The sequence below is a fragment of the Homo sapiens genome, chromosome 7 (genome assembly GCF_000001405.40).
Source record: "Homo sapiens chromosome 7, GRCh38.p14 Primary Assembly".
NCBI lineage: Eukaryota > Metazoa > Chordata > Mammalia > Primates > Hominidae > Homo > Homo sapiens.
Genome location: NC_000007.14, coordinates 40074333 through 40100428, shown reverse-complemented (window position 1 = coordinate 40100428; position 26096 = coordinate 40074333). Strand labels below are relative to the sequence as shown.

The 26096-nt window shown below is 38.1% G+C and overlaps 1 protein-coding gene across 4 annotated transcripts in view; it reads right to left on the bottom strand.

The window, feature by feature from the left end:
• The window catches only part of CDK13 (cyclin dependent kinase 13), a 149325-nt gene continuing 124077 nt past the window's right edge, over window positions 849-26096 (bottom strand). For 2 of the 4 annotated variants that reach the window (XM_017012750.3, NM_003718.5), the window contains 5 exons: window positions 22308-22424; window positions 21578-21709; window positions 12098-12303; window positions 7192-7644; window positions 849-6299 (listed from right to left, as the gene is read on the bottom strand). In XM_017012750.3, coding sequence (XP_016868239.1) covers window positions 5449-6299; window positions 7192-7644; window positions 12098-12303; window positions 21578-21709; window positions 22308-22424 — 1759 coding nt within the window. In that variant the 3' untranslated portion in view covers window positions 849-5448. The remainder of the gene's footprint in view (window positions 6300-7191; window positions 7645-12097; window positions 12304-21577; window positions 21710-22307; window positions 22425-26096) is intronic. The other 2 variants (XM_017012751.3, NM_031267.3) reach the window with 2 other exon arrangements.

Below are 26096 nucleotides of genomic sequence, written 5' to 3'. Positions count from 1 at the left end.
CCTAGAGCGATTTGGATCTAGCAAACATTTTAAAAGTGCATTCTTTATACCAGCAACTCCAAGGAAATTGATTTATGTTTGTGTGTATGTATGTATTTTTGTGGATTTTCATCACATTATTTGTAACAGAAAAGTCCAAAATATTGTGTCCAGCAATGAGAAATTGTGAAAGTATGGTTCCTCTATAAAGCAATAATTTACAACCATTAAAAAGAGGGTGGGCTGGGCGCAGTGGCTCATGTCTTTAATCCCAGCATTTTGGGAAGCCAAGGTAGGAGGATTGCTTGAGGTCAGGAGTTCAAGACCAGCCCGGACAACACAGGGAGACTCCATCTCTACAAAAAATTTAAAAAATTAGCCAGGCATGGTGGTGCATACTTGTAGTCCCAGCTACTTGGAAGGCTGAGGCAGGAGGATCACTCGAGCCTAGGAGTTCAAGGCTGCAGTGAGCCATGATGTCGACACTGCATTCCAGACTGGGGGAAAGAGGATAGAATTTAACTGACTGATACCAAGAGATGTTCACAACATATTATTAAATGAAAAAATTCAAATTACAAAGCTATGGGCAGTATGATCCCATTGTTTTAAGAAAAAAAAAAACAAGATATGCATTCAAATACATCCATCAAAGGCAAAATATTATGTGGTTATCTGGGGGTGTTCTTCTCTGTGTTCCTATTTCCAAATATGTACTAATTATAAAAAGAAAAAAAAAGATTCCACATCTTAACCTTTGTCAAAAAAACGGCACAGTGGATTACAAGTGGTCATCTTTATCAGATAAGATTACTTCAAAAAGTCTGTTCTGGATAGAAGCAAAAAGCAAACAAGGCTGAAAAATGGCCTGGGAGTGTTACGGCAATTTATTTACAGACTATTGAATACGGCCTTAAAAAAATGGTAAAAAACAAATGGCTTATATTAATACATTAGATGTTAACAGTTACAAGACTTAACTTTTAAACGTTCTTGCAAGAGAGTACAACACTTTTAAACAAATTAACTGGGAAAAAACTTAGAAGAGTGATTCTGTATTCACTATAGAGCCTCATTTGAATACAATTAGAAAATTCATTTTTAATTGCACATTTGACAGGCTGAAATGAGTTAAGACCTGCAGACTCTGTTAGTCCATAAAATTAAAAGGATAAGTTCTTCCCTTTACAATAAAAATTTTCTATTTTCCCTGTCTTCAAATGGATCCCATGACAGCTTATTATTAATAGCTTTTATTTTTAAGTAGAAACATTTAAGAAATTATCTGGAGAAGCCTTTGGTAAATGGCAAACTATTGCTCCCCTTAAAAAACCACTTGAAATTACAAAACCCTGAAAGTATTTTTTTGTTGTTTTTTTTTTTAAAGTTCCAAATCAATAGGTTTTATTGCATAAAACCTTGAAAGAACTTAAAAGCAAATTATGTTTGCAAGCCTACTGATAACCAATCTTCTTTCAACAAATGAAAAATACATACAGGACTTGCCTTTTCAAAGATTATCCATATATGAAACAAACAGCCCCTTCAGGCTCCTAAATTTTGAAGATGTTTTTATTTTTCTATTTTTTCTAAATAAAAATTGTTTTTTAAGCAGACTTTTTAAAGCCACTTGTGTTAAACCATTAGTCCAATAGTCTAATTATTTTACCGTATCACTGGTCAAGTTATCTTGAAGCAATTTCCCTATTAAAAAGTTAAGTATTTACTGCAGAATTTAGGTATGGCTTAGAGGAACAAGCACAGGCAATCCAGCTGCCAAAGTTTCTGGCAATCCCTCTTTCTAAGCCTTATTTTTCTTAGTTGTAAAGTAAGAAGACCGACTGGATAATTTTAGGTTACTGGGACATCTCGTTCAGACTTTTAAAACATCAAAAGGCAGACTGGGCCAAAAAAAAAAAAAAAATTGAAAGGATATTATATCCCAGGGAATTAGCTATCTATATTCAAAACATATATTTCAGCTTTGTTTTTTTTACCTATGTCCTACAAGAAGGATTCACCTTTTTGGAAAAGAAAGCAAGTCCCCTTCCCCTAAAAAAAGAAAAAATAAAAATAAAAAAGGAAAACAAAAAGCCCTAGGATGAAAAATCATCCCAAATTGGATTAAGCTCAAAGAGCAAAACCTTAACTCAGAAGTACCAGATTTTAAGCATTTATGTATTCACTTTTCATTTTTCTCAAGAAGTCTTGATATTTCTTACAAATAGGCCATTGCAAACTGACCAGATTCAACTTAAAATTTTATCACTTTTAAGTGATATCAAACAGCTATTCCAGTTGTTTGATTTCTCTCCATAACCATCTCTATCCAAATTTCAATTTAAAATTTCAAAAAGATACTCAAATTTTCATGCCCTACATTCACTTAAGTGCAATTTAGATACAGCTGAGGGTAGCAAATACCACTAACTTCTCCAGACATTTAAAAAAATCTTGCTCACTGTCAGCACACTGAAAGTATGATTTAACACTGTTGACGGTTATTGATGTACCCCAAGGACTAGATTACTACCTGGCATGTTGTAGGCACTGACTATGTATTTGCTGACAGAATAAAGCTCTGAATCACAGCTAGAATTATTACCTTATTTCACATTCCACAAATGACAACTCCTTAAAATTGGCATTTTAAGGTTTCACAAATGACTTGCAACTCTCCAACAAATAATGAAGACGTAGGAAACATACTGAGTTGCATGCAGAAAAACCTGCTGTGTCAGTAAATACAAAAGGGAATTTCACGTGGGAGAAGATAAATACTTTCTTCTTTTGGCAGGTCAAATCTTTTATATTTTTGTCTTCTTAACTTGCAGTCTGACTTACCTGCTTTTTTCCAAAAAATTTAAGCAATATTTTGTGTTCTTTAGATTTCACTCAAATTTTCAGCGATGACTGCTGTTATAACCTACAGAACTAGTGATTTCCCAACTTTGTTCTATTAATCCAAATTCACTGAATTAAAATATTAAATGCTATGAAGGGAAGCATTAAAATTTTTTACTATCATATTTCATCAATTATAAGACATATTTTCATATAATATGTCTGAATCTGGGATGCAGCTTACAATTGATGACGTCTTAGCATTGTATTGTGGCTTAATTGGCAACATTTTTTCTTCTAAGTGACATATAAAAGACTAGTATGTCTCACAGTAGTGCTGTGTAAGGATAATATTAGAAGTTCTAGTTCAAATTTTCAATGTCAAAGCAACAATTTCCCTGTCCTCCCAGCCACTCTCCCAACATAAATATATAACTGAAATGTTTGATTAGAAAAACTATCCAAACACAGTTCAATTTTATATAAAATATTTAATTTTTAAAACACAGGCTATTCATGTCACATAAATATCTTCAACTGTAGGTTAGCTGCTTATGGTCAGCAGAATTATCAAGTGTGACTATTAAGAATAACTTAGATACTGTCACTTATAGGAAAGTCTAAAGCTCTAAGACTCACCATATTAAAATTTCAGATACTTGAATACTGTTGCTATTTTGCTAATTTCAAAATATTTCTTCATTTCCTGCAATGTAGTTTATAAGTTGTTAGTAATCAATATTCAAATAAAAGCAACATATTTTTTTCTTCCATTCATTTCTTTCTCCCAACAAAAAGAGTCCATCAAAAAATAAAATGGTCAACTGATATCAACTTATTTTATAGTAGTAAAATGGTAAATTATCCTCTTTAAAATAATTTTACTCTTATCAAACTACAGGACTTCCCACATACTGTTTTGAAATGAAGGTTCATAAGTTAGAGGGCACAGGGTTAACTGGCTTTAGAACTGGAGCAATATACATTCTGTAACAGTTGTTCCAATTTAAGATTCCAATAAAAAAAAATAAGTTACCAGAACAGTTGATGAACAAAATGATTAATTGGCACAACTCTAACTTCCAGTCAATTTTTCCATTTAGTGATAATGGAAACACTGGTTATTTACCTTTGGTTCCTTTCTAGAATTAGTATAATTGTGTGTGTATGTGTGAGAGTGTGCACACAGTGAGACTTGACACCATTACAGTTTAAATAAGGACTACTCCATTCTTTGATGCTCTTCATTAAAAAAAAATGTTAAAATGAACTAAAGTTGTTGCTCTAAGTCTGGCAGAAGTCATAATCAACTTTACAGAATGTGACAGGAAGGAAGATAAAAGTTCTCTCTCATTGCCTTTTCTTTTTGCTTCAATAAATTCAATCTAAGCAATGTTTCTAGTTAACAAGTGAATAGAATTGACTTTCTTAAAAGGGCAATTGCATAACTTAAAATACGGTATTTGCCACCCCTCCCCCATGAACTTTAACACATTTAGGCAAGTTCTGTTATTAACTCTTGCTTCTATACCATGACCCTCCAATTATCCATGGCAAATGGAAACAGGGATAATATGGCAGCCTGAAAGAAAATGGTACTCTAAAATTCTCCTGGAGCTATTACTTTCAACCATTTAAATGACAAAACTTTGTAGAACTTCTCAAACAATATGTACTGATTGCAGTTCTACTCCCTTTCTTTGCTCTCACTCCCCTATCAAGAGAAGGTGGTAGTGAAAGGCAACACAGCCCAAAGACAGGCAGAAAAGGAGAAAGTGTGACAAGCAGAGGGAATGGACCTAACAGGAACTGAACAGGCAGCCCCTGAAACTTCAGAGTTTCTTGCCTTTTTAATGCATTGATTCCCTTTAAAAGACAAATGGGGGTAAAAGTTAACTATTTTTTTCAGACCTTAAGCTTACCTGTTAAGGCACTTACTTTCCCTCCCCACCCCACCCATAGTTTTCATATAAAACCCACTATTTCATTTAAATGCATTTTGCTAGGCTTTGATAATCTGCAAAACAAAACAAAAATAACGTTGACCATTTTTTTTTTTATAAAACTGTTGCATCAAGAGAAAGGTTGTGTTTTATTTTCTGAAATGAGCACAAAGTACACCTTTCACAATAACACTGAAAGCAGGTGCAAAGACTGACAGTGACCTTTGACTAAAGGTAGCTTTGTAAAAAGAAAAATACCAAATAAATCAGTGCCCTTTCTGATTGTTGTAAAACTGGAGGTGGGGAGGGGCTGTTTGTTACATAAAAGTTGGTCCAAACTTACAAAAAAAGCACAAATGTGCATAGTTCAGAAGATCTGCAAGAGGGCCATAAAAGGCTTATGCCCCTAAAATTAGCATCCACTTAAAACTGCAAGAATACAAAATAAAATTGTTAACTAGAATTTGTGAAGATGTACAATCGATCTAGTTTTTAGAACAGCATGAATTTAAGCAAAGGTTTTTTTTGTCTTTTTTAAACTATTGTATGCAAGACCCTTCTCCACATAAAAATAAAGCTGTTGTTGAATTATTATTATTCAAGTCTCTTGGATTGCTGCCTTAAATTGCAGCTAGAAAAGTCTTTCCAGATAAAAATGATGTGCCTGAGGAAAAACAGATACTCAGTATGGTAACCCTCTGCCTCTGCCTCTGCCAGTTGATGTGCTAATATGTCCCCTGTATCCTTGTGAATATCCAGGTCCTTGGGCAGGAGAAGTCCAGGTCTGTCCATGCATGAGGCTGGGGCCACTCGGATTTTCCTGTAAGTTACCACCATAGTTATAGTTGTGCATCTTTGCTGGCAAAGGATGAGTACTCTCTGGCCCCGTGGAAGGGTCACTGCTGTTTGCCAGGACTGCAATAGGACCATGGCTATATTCAAATCTATGGTCCTTGTCTCCACTAAACAACATGGGACCAGCATTGAGGTAAATGTCTCCATATCCAGCTACTGAACTGGGAAATGACTCAGAAAAGGCAGAAGGCTGAGGTGGACCACCAGAATGAGATGAAGCAGTACTGTAGTTATCCAAAGACTGAATATCTGAATTTCCAATGAAACTACGTCGTTCTAGTGGTGGAGCAGAACTGCTTCCTAGACCATCATTGCTAACATAAGGAGCAGAAGAGAAAGAAGAGGATCCAAAGTTGTCCTTGTAGTCTGAAGTGGACACGTAAGTGTCTCCTGCTTGATAATCAATCCCACCTTCTCTTTTGGGGTCATCCTGGGGCTGATGCTGAGCAAGCAGCTGTAACAGGGCTGCCTTCACTCCGGCATGAGGGTCAGTTAATGAAGAACTGGTGGTGGGTACATGCTGGTTTTCTGTCCGATAATCTAGATCTTCCTCAGTGACTGGTGGTGGTTCAGGAGGCTCGGGAGGTCGTTGGTCAGGAGGCAGAATTCGAGGCCGGTCTGGTTCTGGCGTTAGCTCCAAGATCCTCATATCTTGATGCTGGATGAGGTCATCTTGTCCTAAGTGAAACAGAGCAAAAACAAGGTCAAAAGTTACCATGGAAAACTAAATATTCAAAATACTCAGTGTTTCCTGTAGGTAGTTCTAAAGATGATTAGAAGTTCCATCTCTGGCAAAATGTTAAATGAAAAAAGCAAAAAGTTTACAAGTACTATGGTAACTGGTAAATTTTACTGTATATGGCTTCTCTTTAAAAAAAAAAAAATTTTTTTTTTTTTTTTTGGTGACACGGTCTCACTCTGTCACCCAGACTGGAGTGCAGTGGAGTGATCACAGCTCACTGCAGCCTTGACCTCCTGGGCTCAAGTGATCCACCCACCTCAGCCTTCCAAGTAGCTGGAATCACAGGCATGTGCTACCATGCCCAGTTAATTAAAAAAAATTGTTTTAGAGACAGGGTCTCACTATGTTGCACAGATAGGTACTGAATTCCTGGGTTCAGGCAATCTTCCCACTTCAGCTTCTCAAAGTGCTGGGATTACAGGTGTGAGCCACTGCACCCAGCCGTAATTGGCTTTTTAAAGCTAATTACGGCTAGGTGCAGAATTCACGTATACTTCATTGCTTGAGGAACAAAAGCTACTGTGTACATAAATTATGCCTTAGTCAAGCATCCTTTCGTATTTGGAGTTAAATATTATTTCTTAACCATAGGTTTACCTTAGAAATATCTTTATCATTCACAATGAGTTCTATCTCACATGGATAATTTGTTAAAGAATCCATTCCTGGAAGTAAACAGACTGAAAAACCAACCTATTGCCAGTTACCTGAGATTCTTCAGGACATCTTTTGGCAATGTCACTGAACTATACACATTATATATAGTCAGCAACACTGAGTAGACAATGTAATGCAGCTGTGTTAGTGGTCTGGTATCTGCACACTTACCCGACACCGGAGTGCTAGGTTCTGGAGGTGGCCTGAGTTGTAATGACGCTTCATGTCCCGATCCATTTTCCCTCTCTTCTAGTAGCACATCTTTCTGCTTTGACTGCTGAGCCTTTATTAACTGAGTCAACAGAACTGCAAATGCACTCTGCACAGCCGCCTGGGCAGCATCAGTCTCCACTTTAGGCTGGATGGTCTGAGAAGAAGGCTGAATTCCTCCCAACGGTTTCGAAGACTCCTGTTGTGGTGTTGATGGATCTGTCTGTTTTTCACCTGTTGCCAAAATTCCAGCAGGAAGGTTTATTTTATTTAGCTGCTGTTGAGTCTCAGAGTTTACCTTAATGTTCAACACTTGGACAAAATCAGCCATATTAACACTTGTTTTAGATTGTAGTAGGTTTAGTAGAATTGCCAATTCACTGTGGTTTAAGTGCTGTCCAGGGCCTGTTTTTACTAAAGACAAAATTATATTAATTAGAACTGTCATAATTCACAGCTCCTCCCACTCCCACACCAAAATGGCTCTGTATTACCATATGAAAATATATATTTGAGGGAGAGTATTTAAGAAATACTGTAAAAAGAGAACCTCAAGTCTAGTTAAATATCATGTACATTTAAAATGTACCTGTACATAAAAAGAACTGCAGTCAATTTTGAATAAATCTTTAGGGGTAAATACTTCAAAAGGAAAATCAAGACCACTACTAAAACCTCATGTTATGGATTTAACCAGGAAACAGCACATTGTGAATGGGAAATGAATAATGATAATGATGACAGCTAAGGGAGTGTCACATACCTTCTAAGCATTTAATATCCTTTATTCCTTACAACAACCTTAGAAGGCAGACTCTATTATTAGCCTCCTTTTACTGAGAAGAAGAAACTGACACCGAAAGAGACCAAGCAACTTGCCCAAGGGCAAATATTCTGTAAGTGGCAGAGGTGAGATCTGAATCTGATATTCTGATTCCACAATCTGAGCTCTTAACTACACCGTACTTTCTCTAAAATAAAGTTTATTATGCAAAATCTAAGGTTATCTTTGCACTATATTGAAATCATGACATTTTTCAGATTCTGATAAAATGCCTGTGTTTTTCTTCAAATTACCTTTTTTTTTTTGTAACTTTGGGTAAGTTAGGAATGCCTACAGAAATATGCTTATTATTAATATATGCATATGATAGTATTAACTCATCACCAGTAATAAGGATTCAGTTGTTTTTCCAACTTTCAGTTTAGACTTGGGATAATTTACACAGGTCCTCCCTCACGCAAGCTTATCTGAATCACATATAACGACAAGGCTCAAATGCATATAATACCATATATGGTAACTATAAGACTGCAATGATAAGCAATTCCCATAATCACAGATGACAGATTGATAGAAGAGGAACTCTAAGATGATGAAAAACTGGTGTTTAATGCTTTTATATTCTCTTTATATATTTTGAGATACTTCTGCAAGTTCTTCTTATGATCCGTGAGCATGCTTGTTTGCTACAAATCAAAAGTCATTTTTCCTTATTTTCATTTCCCTATTACCACAGGTAGTCTCTCCATATGAATTCAGGGATGTGGTCTTTAATTGAGGTGCCTCTTTTGCTGAAGGGGCGTTTTCTTATTTCAGCATACTTACTGATGACGGAGAAGAAAATGACTCAGAGGATTCATCCTTTTTTCAAAAAACCAGAATTCTCCTTCTTTTTTTTTTTTGAGACAGAGTCTTGCTCTGTTCCCCAGGCTGGAGTGCAGTGGCATGATATGTAATCTCTGCCTCCCATGTTCAAGCAATTTTCCTGCCCCAGCCCCCACTAGGAGCTGGGATTACAGGCGCGTGCCACCATGCCTGGCTAATTGTTTTATTTATTTATTTTTTTTGAGACGGAGTCTCGCCCTGTGGCCCAGGCTGGAATGCAGTGGCACGATCTCGGCTCACTGCAAGCTCCGCCTTCTGGGTTCACGCCATTCTCCTGCCTCAGCCTCCCGAGTAGCTGGGACTACAGGCGCCTGCCACCACCACGCCCGGCTAATTTTTTGTATTTTTAGTAGAGATGGGATTTCACCGTGTTAGCCAGGATGGTCTCGATCTCCTGACCTCATGATCCGCCCGCCTCAGCCTCCCAAAGTGCTGGGATTACAGGCGTGAGCCACCATGCCCGGCCAGTTGTTTTATTTTTAGTAGAGACATGGTTTTGCCATGTTGGCCAGGCTGGTCTCGAACTCCTGACCTCAGGTGATCCATCCACCTCGGCCTCCCAAAGTGCTGGGATTACAGGCATGAGCCACCATGCCCAGCCTGGAATTCTCACTTCTTAATCACAATACTGATTCTTCTCTTTTCTCTTGATTTTTTAAGACAGGGTCTCACTTTATCATCCAGGCCACAGTGCCAGTGGCACAATCTCAGCTCACTGCAGTCTCGACCTCCTAGGCTCAAGCAATCTTTCCTGCTTCAGCCCCGCAAGTAACTGGGAATATAGGCCAGGCTAATTTTTGTATTTTTTGTAGAGACGGGGTTTTGCCATGTTACCTAGGCTGGTCTCGAAATCCCGAACATAAGCAAACAGCCCGCCCCGGCCTCCCAGAGTGCTGGGATTACGGGCATGAGCCACCACACCCAGCTATTTATAGATAACTCAAGGTCAGGAGTTCGAGACCAGCCTGGCCAACATGGCAAAACCTCATCTCTATTAAAAATACAAAAATTAGCTGAGCGTGATGGCACATGCCTGTAATCCCAGTTACTCTGGAGTCTGAGGCAGGAGAATCACTTGAACCTGGGAGGCGGAGATTGCAGTGAGCTGAGATCGTGTCACTGTACTCCAGCCTGGGTGACAGAGACTGTCTCAAAAAAAAATTAAAGTTAAAAAAGGAAAATAAAAAATAAAATTATCCACCATTAAAACAGGGTTGTAAAGTAAGTTAGAGCAAATTAACAACAAAATGAGCCCAGAAAGGGCAAATCATTTTTTACCAGCTAAAATGAGTAAACTACTACGTTTGGTAGAGTTTAAGACATCAGTTCCATGAAGAGGACCAGAAATAAAGACCTGAGAGTCTTGCCAAATATGACAACTGTTGCCTGGGAAAACAGATCACCATCCAAAATTTCTGTTATTGCCATTTCACATCCTTTTGTTAGCAGGACAAATATTTTAATGTATAAGGGGAACTCACTATTTCAAGAAAGAATACTTTTGAACAACAAATAACAATTGCTTTTGGTATTCATTGAATGAGTACTTTAAGTATGCAGTTGAACCAAGGTCAAGTAGAAGCTTGTAGACTACATTGGCAAGCATTAATGGTTATCTTCCTAAAGCTTTCTCAGTTAATCTATATTTATCTTCAACCACCAAAAGTTCAGTCTGATCCACACATCTGTTTTAATCAACTAACTCATCAATCAACATATACTCATCTCTTAAGAAGTGCTAGTCTATTTTTTCATGTTTAATAAGCCACCACCTACACACACACACACACACACACACACACACACTCTCTCTCTCTCTCTCTCTCTCTCTATTTTATATCAGTCTCTGTTTTCATAAAACTTCAACTAAAGATGGTGTTAAATTAAAGATGGGTGTTTCTGGATGTTTTAGGCAAAATGAGGGAGTGGAGGTCCTTTTAAAAAGTTGTTAAATGATTTTAACACTCTTGACAACATTGAAGAGGCAGACTTTGCATCAAAAAGCTTACTCTATGACAGACTGAGTCAAAGGAAGAAATTTAAGTTTCCCTAAAATAACTAGATATAAGATATCCTTTTTTTTTTTTTTTTTGAGACAGTCTCGCTCTGTCACCCAGGCTGGAGTGCAGTGGTTCAATCTTGGCTCACTGCAACATCTGCCTCCTGGGTTCAAGCAATTATCGTGCCTGAGCCTCCTGAGTAGCTGGGATTACAGGTGTGTGCCACCATGCCCAGCTAATTTTTTTTTTGTATTTTTAGTAGAGACAGAGTTTCAGGAAGTTGTCTGGGCTGGTCTCGAACTCATGGGCTCAAGTGGTCTGCCCATCGTGGCCTCCCAAAGAGCTGGGATTACAGATGTGAGCCACCATGCCTGGCCTTCCCTTCTCATATTTTAAGTTATTTTGGGCACAAATATCAGATTCACTCACACACACACACACACATATTTTGAGATGGAGTCTCGCTCCTGTCGCACAGGCTGGAGTGCAGTGGCGCAATCTCGGCTCACTGCAACCTCCACCTCCCCAGTTCAAGCGATTCTTCTTCCTCAGCATCCGAGTAGCTGGGATTACAGGTGTGTGCCACCACGCCCGGCTAATTTTTGTATTTTTAGTAGAGACGGGGTTTCGCGATGTTGGCCAGGCTAGTCTCGAACTCCTGATCTCAGGTGATCCATCCGCCTCAGTCTCCCAAAGTGCTAGGATTACAGGCGTGAGCCAGCATGCCTGGCCCCAATCTTTAAGATTCTTTAATATAACCAGAGAAATTATAACATTAGGAGTGACATGAGGACGCTATAAATGGTATGAAAGAGCTCTCATTATGATTTTTGGCTGTTTTCTTATACCTTTCTTCCTACTGCTTAAGCATCTATAGACATTGAATGCTGAGCCTCACTGAGAGTAGTGTCAGTAAAAGACCTACTCACTCCTGCACTAAGAGTAAAAAGGAAATACAGAAATCCGAGGACTTGCCAGTCAGGTAATTTGATGCTTCTTTATAAGTTACCTTAAGATTACTTAAAATTGTGGTGCCAATAGCAATGAAACTTCTGTACTGGCACAAAGAAATGTCTAGTTCAGTGAATAAATGTTAATTTTCATTGTTAGCCACAAGATGCTTTAACATTAGAGCAATATGATCAGAATTAACTGCAAAACAATGTGAAGAAAACCAACCCATGGAAGCATTACTGACCAGGTGCCACATTTGAGCTGCCCTGAGATTTCAGCTGTGAAGATGGCAGCACACCCTGGGGTGTGTTGGTTCTGCTGTCATCCAAGCCCAGAGACAAGTCCTTCCTGGGGGCTTTAATTGTGGAAACATCATCAGTCATGCCCATCTGCTTCTGTCTTCTTCGCTTTTTACTCCATAACTCATGACAATCTTGCCATAAAGGGAGACTGAAAAAAAAAAAGGAATTAAATTGTAAATGGCATTTCTTAACAAAAAATGCTACAGTTACTATATAGCAACAAAGTTATGCCCCCACCCCAAATAGTTCTTGAAGACTTCATAGAATGGCTCTGTAAAACTCTTCCAATAAAAATCATCCTTATTGTCCCACTTCCTTCAGGGCTTGCTTTGCCTTTACAGATAATCTATTTTTCTTTGGCTTTTGAATAATCAATAAATAATCATTTATCAAAATTATGAATGAAGAATATATATTCATAAAAATAGGCTACTATGCTGGGCATGCCTGTAATCCCAGCACTTTGGGAGGCCGACATAGGTGGATCATCTGAGGTCAGGAGTTTGAGATCAGCCTGGCCAACATGGCAAAACCCCGTTTCTACTAAAAATACAAAAATTAGCCAGGCGTGGTGGCGGGCACCTGTAATCCCAGCTACTCAGGAGGCTGAGGCAGGAGAATGGCATGAACCCGGGAGGTGGAGGTTGCGGTGAGCCGAGATTGCGCCACTGCACTCCAGCCTGGGTGACACAGCGAGACTCCGTCTCAAAAAAAAAAAAAAAAAAAACACCACTATTGCTGTTGGTGCAACCTTTCAAAGTCAGTTCTTATGATAGTACATCATACACTGAATAAGACATGAAAAAGAAGGCAGAAAAATATGCCATTTCCAGCCAGGCACAGTGGCTCACGCCTATAATCCCAGTGCTTAGGGAGGCCAAGACGGGAGGATTGCTTGAGCCCAGGAGTTCAAGACCAGCCTGGGCAACATGGCAAAACCCTGTCTTTGCCAAAAATACAAAAATTAGTTGGGCATGATGTTGTGCACTGCAGTCCCAGCTACTTGGGAGGCTGAAGTGGGAGAATAGCTTGAGCCCAGGTGGTGGTGGTTGCAGTGAGCTGAGATCATGTAACTGCACTCCAGCCTAGGCGACAGAACCAGGCCCTGTCACACAAAAAAGAAAAACATGCCATTTGCAGAAACCAGATATGGGATAAAAAAGTAGTAAAGGGCCAGGCGCAGCAGCTCATGCCTGTAATCCTGGCACTTTGGGAGGCTAAGGTGGGTGGATCACTTGAGCTCAGGAGTTCACCAGCATGGGCAACATGCTGAAACCCTGTCTCTATAAAAAAATTAGCCAGTCATGGTGGCACATGTCTGTAGTCCCAGCTACTCGGGAAGCTGAGGTGGGAGGATGGCTTCAGCCCAGGAGGCAGAGGCTGCAGAGAGCCAAGATCATGCCACTGCACTCTGGCCTGGGTGACAGAGCCAGACCCTATCTCAAAAAAAAAAAAAAAAAAAAAGAGTAAGGCTAGAACATAACATTTGTGAAGAACTTAACAGTAAAAGCTTACTTTTTACTAACTTGCTTGTCTATCCAAATGCTCTAGAATTAAACTGATGCTACAGACGAGTTTTCAAAATAGGTAATCCTGGCATAGAGCGGCTCATCATTTATCAACAGAGTTGCGAATAACAACTATCAAAACTGCCCACAATTCCTAGTCAATTCTATCTTAAAGTAACTTCATACAACTGATAACACTAGAGAATAACTTTTGCTTAAAGATACAAATATTTGGTTTATAAATGCTTTCTTCTTACCCTAATTAAGTATTTAATGGAACGTTACTGTTGTACCTATTTTAAAGATGAGAAACTTGAGGCTTAGAAAGGTGAATAAACTTGCCCAGAATATCTACAAATTCCCTTAAGCAACCCCACCTGGTAATATATACCTATAATCCTCAACCTGGATCTGTTTACCTCTAGGAGGTACCCGAAGACTCTCCAAGAGGGTACACCTGGAATTTTTTTAAAGGAATTTCCATATCCATATGTCTGCTTTCCTAAGACTGAGCTTTGAGGATGGCCTGCTTGTTTAAGCAAGTTCTTTTACATCTCCTCTTTCACAATTAGTCATGTTATAAAATAAAGGCAGATGCAATAATATGGTTGAATCTTAGCAATATTAGTTTAAAAAGTCATTCCCAAAATATTACAAACAGCATGACGCGCTTTTATAAAATTAACAACTAAAATTTTTAAAATATAACCTTTTATGAGTACATATAGATGGCAACAAAAAGTATATACAAAAGAAAACAGGGATGATGGTTACCTCAGGTGGAGGAAGGCAAGGGGATAGGTTGGTGGGGGTAGGGGTAATATGATTACAGTATGTTATTTTCAGCATTCTAGCTTTTGTTTGGTAGGTTCATGGCTGCTTATTAACATTATTAAAAATAACTAAAGTAACTAAAATAAATAAAAGAGAGCCATGCATGGACCAATGATGAGTGACACAAGGATTATGATTAAACCAAGTCTATGCACCTGAGGTCCAAAAACAAAACAAAGGCATACCTCTCAGCCATCTTACTATGATGCATTGCCTCAGCGTGTAAAAACCTCCTGGAGTAACAAACAAAGGGACAATTTGAAATATCGATATTGGGAAGCTTTCAGGCATCATAAACCCGCCAAAGAATTTCCTTTCTAAGTGTTTGTATGATATGATGTGGGTCTCAGTCTCTGTTGGGATACCTTAAATTCAGATATACTGTAGTACTGCACAGTGGGGTAACTGGAGTGATTCCACCTTTCTATCCTGAAGCTCAGGGAATGCATTGCTCTTGAAGGACAGCCCCATGAGAGCAAAGCAAAGTAATCCATTAAAAAGGGCTTTTGTTCCCTCCCACAATTTAAAAGTAAGAGATTATTTTCTTTCCTTTTTTTTTTTTTGAGATGGAATCTTGCTCTCGTGCTCTGTCACCCAGGCTGGAGTGCAGTGGTGCTATCCCGGCTCACTCCAACCTCCGCCTCCCAGGTTCAAGCAATTCTCCTGCCTCAGCCTCCCCAGTAGCTGGAATTACAGGCACATGCCACCATGCCTGGCTAATTTTCGTATTTTTAGTAGAGACGGGGTTTCCCCATGTTGACCAGGCTGGTCTTGAACTCCTGACCTCAGGTGATCTGCCAGTCTTGGCCTCCCAAAGTGCTGGGATTACAGGCATGAGCTACCGTACCTGGCCCCCTTAAAAGTAAGAGATTCTTTATGGATGATCTTAATACTCATCTCTAGGAAAGATAAATTTTACCCAAGAAATAGCTAAAATAGTACAGGTTACTGATGCTGATACTTTCAGATGGATCAGGAATGTCTTCCAGATAACCAAACTTTTATTTGCTTTCTTGAAGGTTCAAATGCCAGCTCAGTCACTTACTTGATGTGTCTTAGGCAAATAACTGGACCTCTGTGCCTCATTTTCCTTGTCTTTAAAAATGGGATTAACAATACTATCTACCTCATGGGGTAGTACTGTATGTTAACATGTGCAAGCTCTTCAGCAGTGCCTCTTACAAAGTAGGCAATGTATTAATTCATGTTTGACATCACTGATCATTTAATTCATAGTTTACAACTATTTCCATCAAATCATTATTGTGAAATATTCATTCTAATGGCAACTGATATTTTGTCTTATAAATGGCTTAATGCTTTTTACTTGCTGTTAAAGAAAGCTTACAGGCTGGCTGCTAGTCTAATTCACTTTCCAGCTATATATACTTTACGTTTGACAGGGCATCTAATACAATTAATGGAGTTATTTCTAACTTTTTTGTTTGTTTTTGAGACAGAGTTTCACTCTTGTCACCCAGGGTGGAGTGCAATGGTGTGATCTCAGCTCATTGCAACCTCTGCCTCCTGGATTCAAGCAATTCTTGTACCTCAGCCTCTCAAGTAGTTGGGATTACAGGCATGTGTCACCATACCCTGCTAATTTTGTATTTTTAGTAGAGATGGGGTTTCACCATGTTGGCCAGGATGGTATCAATCTCTTGACCTCGTGATCTGCCCACCTCGGCCTCCCAAACTGCTGTGATTACAGGTGTGAGCCACTGCGCCCGGCCTAATTTTTGTATTTTTACTAGAGACGGGGTTTCACCATGTTGGCCAGGCTGGTCTTGAACTCCCGGCCTCAAGTGATAGGTCCGCCTCGGCCTCCCAAAGTGCTGGAATTATAGGCATGAGCCACTGCCACCGTGCCCAGCCTATTTCCGATTTTTAAATACCCCATTCTCTCATTTGATTATTCCTAAAAAATTGATCAAAAGAGTTTGATACACCTTCCAACTTTCTAAAGGAATACCATGTATTTCTTCATAGTCCTTACCTCATAAGTAATGCATAATTTTAACTACTCATTATATCATATTGCAAAATAGTGAGAGATATTATATTATATTGTTTATAAAATGTTTTTATTTAAATATTGGATCAATCTGATACTCTTTACTTGATTGCTTTAGTAATGTATCTAACAAGATACATTCCATAATTTGTTACAGATAGCTTACAGAATGTTCCTTGAATGTGTTTTTAACATGTTTGTTTTTAATGAAAAAATGCAGTCAGGTGTGTTCTGATAAAATTAAGTCTGATTTAGGTGATTTGCTTTACAATAAGGACACAGTTTATGATTAGAATATAAGGTAGGCATTTCCCATAAATTGAGTGGGATAAACCTATAGTTCCAAGTTTTGGCAAAATACTTAAAAAACATAATTAAGAAACAATTTTAAAAATGGACTGGCAAAGTAGCACTGATATTACATGCTGATTTCCTAATCTTTTCTAGGTATACTGGATTAAATGTGCTGTGAAAAGAAACAGTAACAAGTACTAGAAAATGTCATTTCATAAGCATTGGTAAGACAACTGAAAAGGCAAATAATTACTAGACAAGAAATCCTTCTTTAGATCATGTGATCTCTAATTCTTCATCTTTTTTTTTTTTTTTTGTAAAGACAGGGTCTCCTTATGTTACCCAGGTAGGTCTCAAACTCCTGGCCTCAAGCAATCCTCCTGCGTTGGTTCCCAAAGTGCTGGGATTACAGGCATGAGTCACCATGCCCAGCCTCCAATTCTTTACTATCCAAAAAACTGAAGGAGAAAGAATCTTAACACCTAGAAGGTCATTAGAATCTTTTTTTTTTTTTTTTTTTGGAGACAGAGTCTCACTCTGTTGCCCAAGCTGGAGCGCAGTGGCGCGATCTCGGCTCACTGCAGCCTCCGTTTCCCAAGCTCAAGCAATTCTCGTGCCTCACCCTCTGGAGTAGCTGGGATTACAGGCGTGTGCCACCACGCCTGGCTAATTTTTTAGTATTTTTAGTAGAGATAGGATTTTACCATGTTGCCCAGATTGGTCTCAAACTCATGGGCTCAAGGGATCCACCTGCCTTGGCCTCTCAAAGTGCTGGGATTACAGGCATGAGCCACTGCACCCGGCCTAAAATAACTTTTTTTTTTTTTTTTTTTGAGGCAGAGTCTTGCTCTGTCACCCAGGCTGGAGTGCAGCGGCAAGATCTTGGCTCACTGCAATCTCCACCTCCCAGGCTCAAGTGACTCTCCTGCCTCAGCCTTCTGAGTAGCTGGGATTACAGGCACACGCCACCATGCCCAGCTAATTTTTGTATTTTTAGTACAGCTAGGGTTTCGCCATGTCGGCCAGGTTGATCTCAAACTGCTGGCATCAAGTGATCCTCCTGCAGTGCTGAGATTACAGGCATGAGCCATTGTGCCCGTCCTTTAAATCTTTTTTTTTTTTTTTTTTTTTTTTTTTGGAAATGGAGTCTCACTCTGTCGCCCAGACTGGAGTGCAGTGGCGCCATCTTGGCTCACTACAACCTCTGCCTCCCAGGTTCAAGCAGTTCTCTGCCTCAGCCTCCCGAGTAGCCGGGATTACAGGCACCCGCCACCACACCTGGCTAATTTTTGCATTTTTAGTAGAGACAGGATTTCACCATCCTGGCCAGGCTGGTCTTGAACTCCTGGCCTTGTGATCTATCCGCCTTGGCCTCCCAAAGTGCTGGGATTACAGGCGTGAGCCACTGCGCCCAGCCTAAAATCATTTTTGATGAAAGGCTTTTCACACATAATGTCGAAGGAGTTCCAAGAACTCAGTGATATAACTATGACAAAACTCCTTACATTCTCAAATGCTAATTTACAAGCATACTTATAGAACTAAAAAATAAAATTGGAATTCATATGGAAATATGTCTCATTCTAGAATAAGCAATATTAATCAACAGATATGCAAACTACTTGGGAAAAAAATCTCAGCCCTCTCTTTCATTAGGTTGTACTTCCAACAAAATTTACTAATTTTTTCTTTATTTAAAATGGAAATATTTGGGCTGGGCACGGTGGCTCACACCTGTAATCCCAGCACTTTGGGAGGCCAAGGCAGGCGGATCACCTGAGGTCTGGAGTTCGAGACCAGCCTGACCAACATGGAGAAACCCTGTCTCTACTAAAAATACAAAATTAGCCGGGCGTGGTAGCGCATGCCTGTAATCCCAGGTACTCAGGAGGCTGAGGCAACAAGAGTAAAACTCCATCAATCAATCAATAAATAAATAAGGAAATATTCATTACTGATATTTACAATGACAATTTAATCAAGAAAAGAGCTTTTAGTCACAGGAAACGTGAAATTTAATTTCCATTTATATACATGTATTTGTTTTTTAAAATATATGATACAGTAATCAATAAAATACTTTCTAGCATAAATACTTTACATTAGAATAAAAGCCTACGGGAGTAACATAAGTTCAAGATGAAAATGGAACAACGTACAACTGCTCAACATTTTCCAAATGACTATTGGTGGTGGATATCAAAATGCTATGATAGTTGCTTTCCACTTGATATATTTACAAGAGTGATATAATTGCTCTACTTAAAAATGTCAGCATTTACTATGTTGACATTTTTAAGTACAGTGGTTACATCTCTTGGTCAAAGTTACCATTACCAATAATAATGGTACAAAGTAACATTATGTTCTCTTGAACATAATTATCACAGAGCAGGATCACCATCAACATTACATTCTTGCCCCCCAAACTCTTAATCTAATTCTGATAAAAAGAAGGCAATCAAATCCAAATTGTGAAATATTTTACCAAAGAGCTAGCTTGGAATCTTAAAAAATGTTGAATGTCAAAAGATCTCTTCCCTAGAGAGTGATTAAAGATGAAAAGGACATAACAAATAAACAGAATGCTGAACTTTGAAAAATTCTTTATCTTAAAAAAAAAAGTCTATAAGAGAAATTATTGGGTCAACTGGGGAAATCTGAATGTGGATTGACCATTAAATATTCTCATGTTAAATTTCATATGCTTTATATGGTATGCATGTAGAATAAAGTCCTAGTTCTTACAGATATGATTACATATTTATAAGTGTCACCTCCACAACATGATATCCAACTAGTTCAGGAAAAAAGTAGACAGTGATAAAGCAAATGTGTCCAACTATTATTAACTGTTGAATCTAGGTAAAGGATATACATGAATACTCTTTGTACTATTCTTCCTATTTTTCTATAGAGTTGAAATTTTTCCAAATCAGAAGTTTAAAAAATGTTATTTGAAGGGGTACTGAGCCCAAGTTTTAAGATTACTGATACACACTAAGAAAAAAGCAAACATGAAACAATAATTCAACAGTGAAAAATTCAGGTCCCTCATGATGTCAGGTAATAGATCCTTTTTGGCTCCCAAATCATCCCATAAAGGCCAACCATGTACAGCTCAATAAAAGCTTACTGAAGCTGAATATGACAGCCTCATAGAAATATAATAAGCACTATCTAACTGATAAGCAGAAGAACCAGGATTTGAACTCCAGAGCCCATGTCTGTTCATTTAAAATATGCTATTTTTATTACATGGAAACATTTTATTATTATAGATAATAGGCTTGCTTTTAATGATGCTCCTTATCATTTTAAAAATTATTAAGAAAAGGCTGGGCGTGGTGGCTCAAATCTGTAATCCTAGCAGTTTAGGAGGCCAAGGTGGGTGGATCACCTGAGGTCAAGAGTTCAAGACCAGCCTGGCCAACATGGTGAAATCCCATCTCTACTAAAAATACAAAAATTAGCCAGATGTGGTGGTGCATGCCTGTAATCCCAGCTACTCGGGAGGCTGAAGCAGGAGAATCACTTGAACCTGAGACGCAGAGGTTGTAGTGAGCTGAGATCGTGCCACTGCACCCCAGCCTGGGAGACAGAGTGAGACTTTGTCTCAAGACAAAAAAATAAAATAAAAATTACTAAGAAAATACCTACAAGGTTTCTAGATCCTGTCAAGGAATGCAAATGAACGTTTTCCTTCCCCCCTACTCCCCAAATCAATCCTAGAGAAATAACAGGAGCCATTTGAAGTTACAGGTTCAAGAGAAGCCAGCTATTTTGACTCCCAAACTCTATATATTTCCCCCATCAGACAATAATTCCTTCTATACAGGCTTCTGATACTAACATTCTTTTCATTCAATGATAAGAAATTTATATTGTATACTATGCTATAAAGTATTTTCAGAACCTCTCTTACTTATTGGACTAATGTGAATTTGAGAGCTGGCTGTACCCTTTACTAGATTTGTATTCTTGGGCAAGTTTCTTAACCTCTCTGAGCCTGCTTCCTCCTCTGTGAAGTGGTGATGATAATAATACTAATACCTACCTTATAAGGTTATAAAGATTAATGTAATAAATGAAAAATGCTTAGCATGGCACTCAAAATTATGGCTATAGCTGTACCAGTAGTAGTGTTAAGTATTTAGTAGAAGTAGTATTAGAATAGCAACAGCAGTAATATTTTTTTTTTTTTGAGACGGAGTCTTGCTCTTGTCACCCAGGCTGGAGTGCAATGCCATGATCTTGGCTCACTGCAACCTCCGCCTCGCGGGTTCAAGCGATTCTCCTGCCTCAGCCTCCCAAGTAGCTGGGATTACAGGCGCCTGCCACCACGTCTGGCTAATTTTTGTAATTTTAGTAGAGACGGGGTTTTGCCATGTTGGCCAGACTGGTCTCAAACTCCTGACCTCATGATCCGCCCACCTCGGCCTCCCAAAGTGCTGGGATTATAGGCGTGAGCCACCGCGCCCGGCAGCAGTAATATTTTCTTAGAGTTGAAATATATTATTAAATCTTGAGGTCAATCAAGCCTAAAATTAGCTAGAAGGCAGCTGTTTTTGCTAGCCCTATGGGTAAACATTAAGCAAGCATCTATATCCCAGATGTGCAAATTATGTGTATTACTGCTGTTTTATCTTTCCTTTATTATATTTTTCTCATAACCAGACATGAAATATCTTATTATATATGTTATTAAAACTGTTTTAATATAATAAATATAATAATAATATATAATAATAATAGGATAAAAAGTCACTTACTCTGGTGGAGGCATTTTTGAGGGTTCCACATCTCGGAGGAACTCGCACTGAAGAGCCTGTTCAGCAGTGCAGCGCTTACTAGGATCCAAGGCAAGCATGTAATCAAATAAGTCTAGCGCAGCTGCAGGAATACTAGCATGAGAGGATTACAAAAGTTAGATGTGTTCTTTAGACACAAGCTTATGTTTCTTTAGGAGCTTAAATTATTTTTAATTAAATTTTAAAACTAAAACTAAGATCATTTAAAAATAATTGTAAATACTTTTTTAATATGTGCATAATACTTTACTTCAATAAATCCGAATTTTCCTTTGAATAAATATTTCATTTTTACATAATTTTTGTAACCACTTTCTAAACAATAGTATATATTGTTACTTATCGGTAATTTGCTGTTATTATACAAATTAAGAACTGAACAGTATAGTTTTTTCTAAAGCAAAATGAAAACTTGAGCTCAAGTAACTTGAAAGCTGTTCCAGTAACATTTAAATGATCTTATTAAAGTTCTTTCACGTAAGCACCAAACCAAACACACAATCTCAAATCACTGATTCCATAATAATGGTAAAATGGTAATCTGCATGTAGCAAACAGAACTCAAAATTAAATGCCCTAGAAGAATTATAGGTTTACCTCAGATCACTAGAGAATAGACTAACATTTATAATTCACTAGAATTAAAGTAAAACATTCATGCAATAAGGATGTTTACACATCCCCTTCTTACAAAACAAATTCTTCTCTTAACTTTCGACGATATTGCTTCTTTGGTTTCATGGTGTTGAAATATGGTAGTTTGATTACATCAGGCCACACTGCAGGACATGGACTCCCACATATTCGGCTAAGCAACACACAAAAGGAAGTACATCACTATCAACTACATAAAGAATACATACAACTGTTATACAAAACATCAACTCATTTTTAAATACACAAAAATTGAAGCCTTGGTCTATAAAAACTTTTGTTATTTTATTCTTTCTTTTTTTTGAGACAGAGTCTCACTCTGTCACCCAGGCTGGAGTACAGTGGCACAATCTCAGCTCACTGCAATCTCTGCCTCCTGGGTTCAAGTGATTCTCCTGCCTCAGCCTCCTGAGTAGCTGGGATTATAGGCATGCGCCACCACGGCCCAGCTAGTTTTTGTATTTTTAGTAGAGACAGGATTTCCCCATGTTGGCCAGGCTGGTCTTGAACCCCTGTTCTCAAGTGATCCACCTGCCTAGGCCTCCCAAAGTGCTGGAATTACAGGCATGAGCCACCACGCCCGGCCCTCGTTAAATATTTTAGTCATCCGAATTTAATTATTTAAGAAATTAATTTATTTTCAGTGGATACTTTTAACAATCCAAGCATTCCAATTCTTAGAGGACTTTCATTATTTGCAAAATGAAATCTTAAAACATGATGACACTCAAAATATGTGACTTACACCTTAAAACCAACATAAAAAATTTATGCCCATAAATTAAGGAACTAGAGTTGAATATATGTCCCTCTCTGGTTTTTTGGTACCTGTCACTCCTCCTTCCCATGAATATAAGGCAGTCTACAATAATAGCAGAAACGGATTTCTATATGACCTCAGGAAGGTAACTGTAGTGTAAAGACTACTGCTAACTGCCATCAATGGAAGGACCCTAAACATAACACTCTTGAAACATTAAAGTTCTTCAATTTAAGTAGTGCTGCTGATCTTAAGTCATAAAGAAATTTTAACTGCTTTACTCTCGTTTATCTGTATCTTGAAAATCCTCATTATTTTAGCATTAACTAGTAAATCCTTGTTATGGTAATTTGTAGAAGAAATGCTATAACAAATAGGCAACTCCAGCTGGTAAACATTTAAAAACTAACTGATTTAGTAATAGGTAGATGAAAATTTGCTTAAATCTACTTATTTTTAGTATACCAAATTTCAAGGATGTTTATTATATATAAAATTGTCAGCTGGTCTGCATATGTAAAAAGAAAACGTTGATGTATCACTGATTAAAAGTAAAAATATTCCAAACATACGTAAATACAAATGCATGTATAAATGTATATGAACAAGTAATGGCTCAAGTTGCCAGACATTTTTTTAGCTGAGCTTTAGAATGATACCTCAGAAACACATATTTATAGGAGACCTTTTATGTTTTTAAAGCCGTATGTCACTGAAATGTACTTTTTTGTCTCAATATATTTAGCATTTTTATAAACCCAAGCTTTAAAGATACTAAGAACTTATTCTTTACATAGTTCTACTCTCTTTTGTCTTAAAGTCCAATTTTCACAACCTCCTCAACCCTACTCCCTTGAAAAGAAAGCCCAACTCCTGTAGCATGGGCTCTCTAGATCTGGTCCCAATCTGCCTTCCTAGTCTCATTTCCCAATGCATCTCTCCCCACAGGCCACTCCTTCATGTCTATGCTAATGCTCCTTCTCCCTAAATTCTATATAGCTGAATTATTTTCACTTCTCAAGATTCAGATCAAAAGTAATCTAATTAATAAAAGTCTTCTGTATTCTCCAATGCTACTCAGAATTACTCCTTGCATGCTACTGGTTTGACATTTCTTTCATCCTGCTCTGTATTTTAGTTGTTTACAGGTCTCTTTTCTATTTCTTGTTTTTGTATACTTTTCCAAGAAACCATGTAAACACAATTAATCAACCCCAGGCAGACTGTTGTGCACTATAATAGAAGTATAAAGCATACTGGAATCCAGGAAGGCAAAGATACTTTCAAGATGCAGAAATACAAGAAAACTTAAGTTAGGGAAAGAGTGAAGAATTTTGGTTATAATTCCAAGGATAAGTAAACCATAGACAGGTGGGAAATGGAATAAGATAAATTATGTTACCAGAAGAGAGAACACAGGCAAAGGCATGGAAGTAGCAAAGTATAGACATTTGGGAGGAACACTATGTAAATCAGTGTAGGGGGAATACAGGGCTCAGGGAGGCTCAGCTGGAAGCATAACCTGGGTCTAGATAATACTGCGGTAGGTTTGTCTGTAGACAGGTTTTTGCTATGTTGCCCAGGCTGGTCTTGAACGCCTGGCTTCAAGTGATCCTCCCACCTCAGTCTCCTAAAGTGTTGGGATTACAAGCATGGGCCGCTGCACCCAGTCCACAATACAGTTCTAAGGTACTTTGCCTATGTATAATGAAGACAGAATTTAAAAGCAAGTTTTATATTTGACTCTTGTCTGACATCGGTCAAATTACATTGCTTAGGAATCTGCTCCTCTTTTGGAAACTTAAGATTAATTTTATTTTGAAGCTACGAAATTAAATGAGCTAGCATCTGGCCCATTAATAGTCTTATAATAAACAACAGTTTCATTATACTAAAATTTTATTTCAATAAAATTTTATTTTATTGAAATTTTATTTCAATAAAAATTTCAATTATTTTATCATATGTGATGTTGAAAGATATCTGAGTACCGAATTTATCTAACTGAAAGCAGGATACACAATGGAATACACATACCGATGCAAGGAAAGTTCCTAGAAACTAGAGAGGTAGACATGACAGCAACTGATAACTGCATTTACAAAATCTGTGCCTGGTGGCCAGTCAACTACTCCCAACACCATTTACTACTGAGATGCATCATACACTAAGGTATATGCTAAATCCCCAATTACCTGAGGTATACTTTGGGAATCTATCGTGATTCCATCAATCTACTCTGGTGTCAATACCATATTGTGCTTTTAATATTCCTTGAAAGTCTGATAGGACAAATCTCCTATCCACCTCTTTACTTATTCTCCTCAAAATTTTATTACACATGAATTATAATCAATACTATAACACTCCAAAAGAGAATCCTGCTAGGATTCAACCGCCACTCTAAATTTATAGATTTAGAACCAACTACTGCCTTTACAATGCTTAATATTTCTATCTTAGAATTAGTGTTTCTATTTCTTTCCTTTATTTATTTATTTATCTATTTTCAGTGAGATTTTGTGTATTTCCTTTACGGGCTTTTTGTTTTTTAAATATTTTGTTTTTTTTTTTAAATAGACACAGGGTTCCACTGCTACCCCAGGCTGGAGGTCAGTGATGCAATCATAGCTCCCTGAAGCCTCGACCTCCCGGTCTCAAATGATCCTCCTGCCTCAGCTTACCAGCTGAGACTACAGGAATATGCCACTACATCCATCTAATTTGAGACCCAAGCTGGCCTCAAACTCCTAGCCTCAAGTGATCCTCCTGCCTCAGTCTATCAAAGTATTGGGATTACAGGCATAAGCCACTGAGCCCAGCCTTAAACATGTTTTTAGCCCATTATATTTACTTTCTTTTTTTTTTTTTTTTTTGAGATGGTGTCTTGCTCTGTCGCCCAGGCTGGAGTGCAGTGGCACCATCTCGGCTCACTGCAAGCTCCACCTCCCAGGTTCATGCCATTCTCCTGCCTCAGCCTCCCACGTAGCTGGGACTACAAGCACCTGCCACCACACCCGGCTAATTTTTTTGTATTTTTAGTAGAGACAGGGTTTCACTGTGTTA